The following is a 2,629-nucleotide window of genomic DNA, read 5'->3' on the forward strand; positions in this document are numbered from 1 at the left end:
CCAGGAGGATGCATTCATGACCTTGAGGTGGGCAAAGATTTTTTAAACAGGATATAAAAAGCACTAACTATAAAGGAAGAGATTGATAAATTAGACTCCACTAAATTTAAGAACTTCTCTTTATCAAAATGAATTAAGAGAATAAAAAGGTAACTGCATTCAGAGAAAAAATATTTGAGATATAGATACCCAAAAAAGAGGACTACCTGCCTGCCTGGGTTGCAGAAGTGATGGCTGCCGACTGAGCTTGCTGCTTTCTTGCTACTGCTTGGGCTTCCTGGCTACCTACCAAATGGTGAGGGCGGCCCAGCTGTGTATGGTCAGTCAGATAGCCCCTGTCTCCCACCACCAATCTCTGTCCCCTAGCAGCATGGAGCAGACAGTGGCGGCAGCAGAAGCAGGCAAGCAGGGAAATGGTGGGAGGGCTGCAGGCCTGTGTGGTGGACTGTAGCATGGGGTATACAAAACTAGGATATGCCAGAAATATAGAACCACAGTTGATCATCCTTTCCTGTATTGCTACTAAGGAGTCACCAAAAGTGGGTGATCAATCTCAAAGGAGGGTGATGAAAAGTATTGATGACCAAGACTTCTTCATTGGTGATGAAGCAGTAGAAAAAACCTACATATGCAACAAAGTGGCCAATCCGCCATGGTATAGTTGAAGTTGGACCTGACAAAAAGTTTTATAGAGCAAGTCATCTTAAATATTTAAGGGCAGAAACTGAAGACCGTTATTTTATTTTGTCTGAACCTCGACTTAATACTCCAGAAAACAGGGAATATACTGCTGAAGTAATGTTTGAGTCCTTCAGTGTTCCAGGCTTGTACATTGCTGTGCAGGCTGTTCTTGCCTTAGCTGCATCTTGGACCTCCAGACAAGTAGGAGGACGGACATTTACAGGTACAGTAATAGACAGTGGAGATGGTGTCACTCATGTCATTGCTATGGCTGAAGGGTATTTGATTGCCAACTGTATTAAACACATTCCAATCCCAGGACGAAATATAACATATTTTATTCCGCAACTGCTGAGAGACCAAGAAGTAGGAATCCCTCAAAAACAATCCCTGGAAACTGCTAAGACAATAAAGGAGCACTATAGTTATGTCTGCCCAGATTTAGTAAAGGAATTTAACAAGTATGACACAGATGGGTCAAAATGGATTAAGCAGTATACCAGAATCAATGCTATCTCAAAGAAAGAATTTTCCATTGGTGTTGTTTCTGAGAGACTTTTGGGATTTGAAATCTTTTTTTCATCTAGAGTTTGCCAATCCAGACTTTACATAACCTATCTCAGAAATTGTAGGTGAAGTAATTCAGAATTGTCCTATTGATGTCAGACGGCCTCTCTATAAGAATATGGTCCTCTCTGTAGGTTCAACCATGTTCAGTGACTTTGGATATCACTTGCAAAGAGATTTGAAAAGAACTGTATGTAGATGCCTGGCTGAAATTAAGTAAGGAATTGAGTGGCAGTAGATTGAAGCCAAAATCTATTGATGTACAAGTCGTTACACACCATATGCAGCCATATGCAGTTTGGTTTGGAGGATCAATGCTGGCTTCCACGCCGGAGTTCTACCAAGTATGCCACACTAAAAATCATTATGAAGAAATTGGACCTAGCATTTGCCGTCACAATCCGGTGTTTGGAGTCATGTCATAAAAATGACTTCATAGTTATTGGGGTTAGGGAGGTGGAGAAGAGATAATCTTTTTCATTATGTTTTGTCTGGATGGCTGGTTTTGAGGTTTTAAACCTGACTTGAAATAGTAAGACCAAACGTGATTATACAGAAATATTTTAATAAGTGTATCAACATGCAAATGTAGAAGAGAAAGAAAGTGATTGTATTTTTTTTAGATTGAATATTTGAATCGTATGTGTAACAAAAGAAGTGGGTTTTAGTTCCTTCTGTGCCCTGGTATTTTGTATGTTAATGAATTATCCAAGATTTGATGGATTTATCAGTGTGTAGATAGCTCTATAATTATTTAATTGTATACTTCTAAGTGTGCAATGCAAGAGCTTGTTTATATTTCATACTTTTTGTACTTTGAGGATTAAAAAGTCAAAGAAAAATTGTGTTTGAGAGAAAAGTCATGAACAAGTAAAGGATAAATTTAAAAAATAGCCCCATGAGACTTGGCATACACACTAATGGGATTCCGGTTATTATGGAGTGCTTCCATACCCCTCCACTCCTTCTCCCCAAAAGGTTTTCTTTGCAAGTGCTTTTGAAGCTAAGAGCTGATATCTTGGATTAACTGATGCCTGCTGCTGCTTTCTGATTACTCACATTCTGTTTCTTGCTTTTAAAAAAACAGTAAAGACAAGAGTGTTGGACCAGTATTGCAGTTCTGTAGTGTCATTTCTTATAAAACAACAACAACAACAATAATTTGATTACCAAAATTGGCATATTTAAAGCCTAACAACATTCTAATAAAGGCACAAATTTCTTTTTAATGCTTGTTTCAAGCTCTTTAATCTCTTCATAAGTTAACTAATAAATCTATTTTCTTCAAACCTCTGCAATAGTTCTTTAAAATTACAGCCTCCGCCTCCTGGGTTCAAGCAGCTCTCCTGCCTCAGCCTCTCAAGTAGCTGAGATTACAGGC

At 38.6% G+C, this 2,629-nt stretch overlaps 1 pseudogene; it reads left to right on the forward strand.

Annotated features, from left to right (window-relative positions):
* Positions 457-1,869, forward strand: ACTR3P2 (ACTR3 pseudogene 2; annotated as a pseudogene).

This window comes from Homo sapiens, chromosome X, assembly GCF_000001405.40.
Source record: "Homo sapiens chromosome X, GRCh38.p14 Primary Assembly".
In the NCBI taxonomy this organism is placed as follows: Eukaryota; Metazoa; Chordata; class Mammalia; order Primates; family Hominidae; genus Homo; species Homo sapiens.